The 597-nt window shown below is 47.7% G+C and overlaps 1 pseudogene; it reads left to right on the top strand.

Moving 5' to 3' along the window:
- Positions 214–597, top strand: RPL36AP49 (ribosomal protein L36a pseudogene 49; annotated as a pseudogene).

Here is a 597-nt window from a genome sequence, read left to right as displayed (position 1 = left end):
CCTATCACTACAGAAAATACAGTAATTAGCTGGGCATGGTGGCACATCCATGTAGTCCCAGCTACTCGGGAGGCTGAGGCAGGAGGATTGGTGGAGCCTGAGAGGTCGACGCAGTAGTGAGCCAAGTTTGCACTGCTGCATTCCAGCCTGGGTGACACAGTGAGACTGTGTCTCAAAAAGCAAAAGAAGATACTTCCGTTTCCGGCACCTCTTCTTTCTTGCCGTGCCGATAGCGCTCACGCAAGCATGGTTAACGTCCCTAAAACCCACCAGACTTTCTGTAAGAAGTGTGGCAAGCACCAACCCCACAAAGTGACACAGTACAAGAAGGGCAAGGATTCTCTGTATGCCCAGGGAAAGTGGCGTTATAACAGGAAGCAGAGTGGCTATGGTGGGCAGACTAAGCCGATTTTCCAGAAAAAGGCTAAAACTACAAAGAATACTGTGCTAAGGCTTGAGTGCGTTGAGCCCAACTGCAGATCCAAGAGAATGCTGGCTATTAAAAGATGCAAGCATTTTGAACTGGGAGGAGATAAGAAGAGAAAGGGCCAAGTGATCCCGTTCTAAGTGTCATCTTTTATTATGAAGACAATAAAA

The sequence above is a fragment of the Homo sapiens genome, chromosome 18 (genome assembly GCF_000001405.40).
Source record: "Homo sapiens chromosome 18, GRCh38.p14 Primary Assembly".
Lineage (NCBI taxonomy): Eukaryota > Metazoa > Chordata > Mammalia > Primates > Hominidae > Homo > Homo sapiens.
The sequence above is the reverse complement of the archived record's forward strand: the minus strand, read 5'-3'. Positions and strand labels throughout refer to the sequence as shown.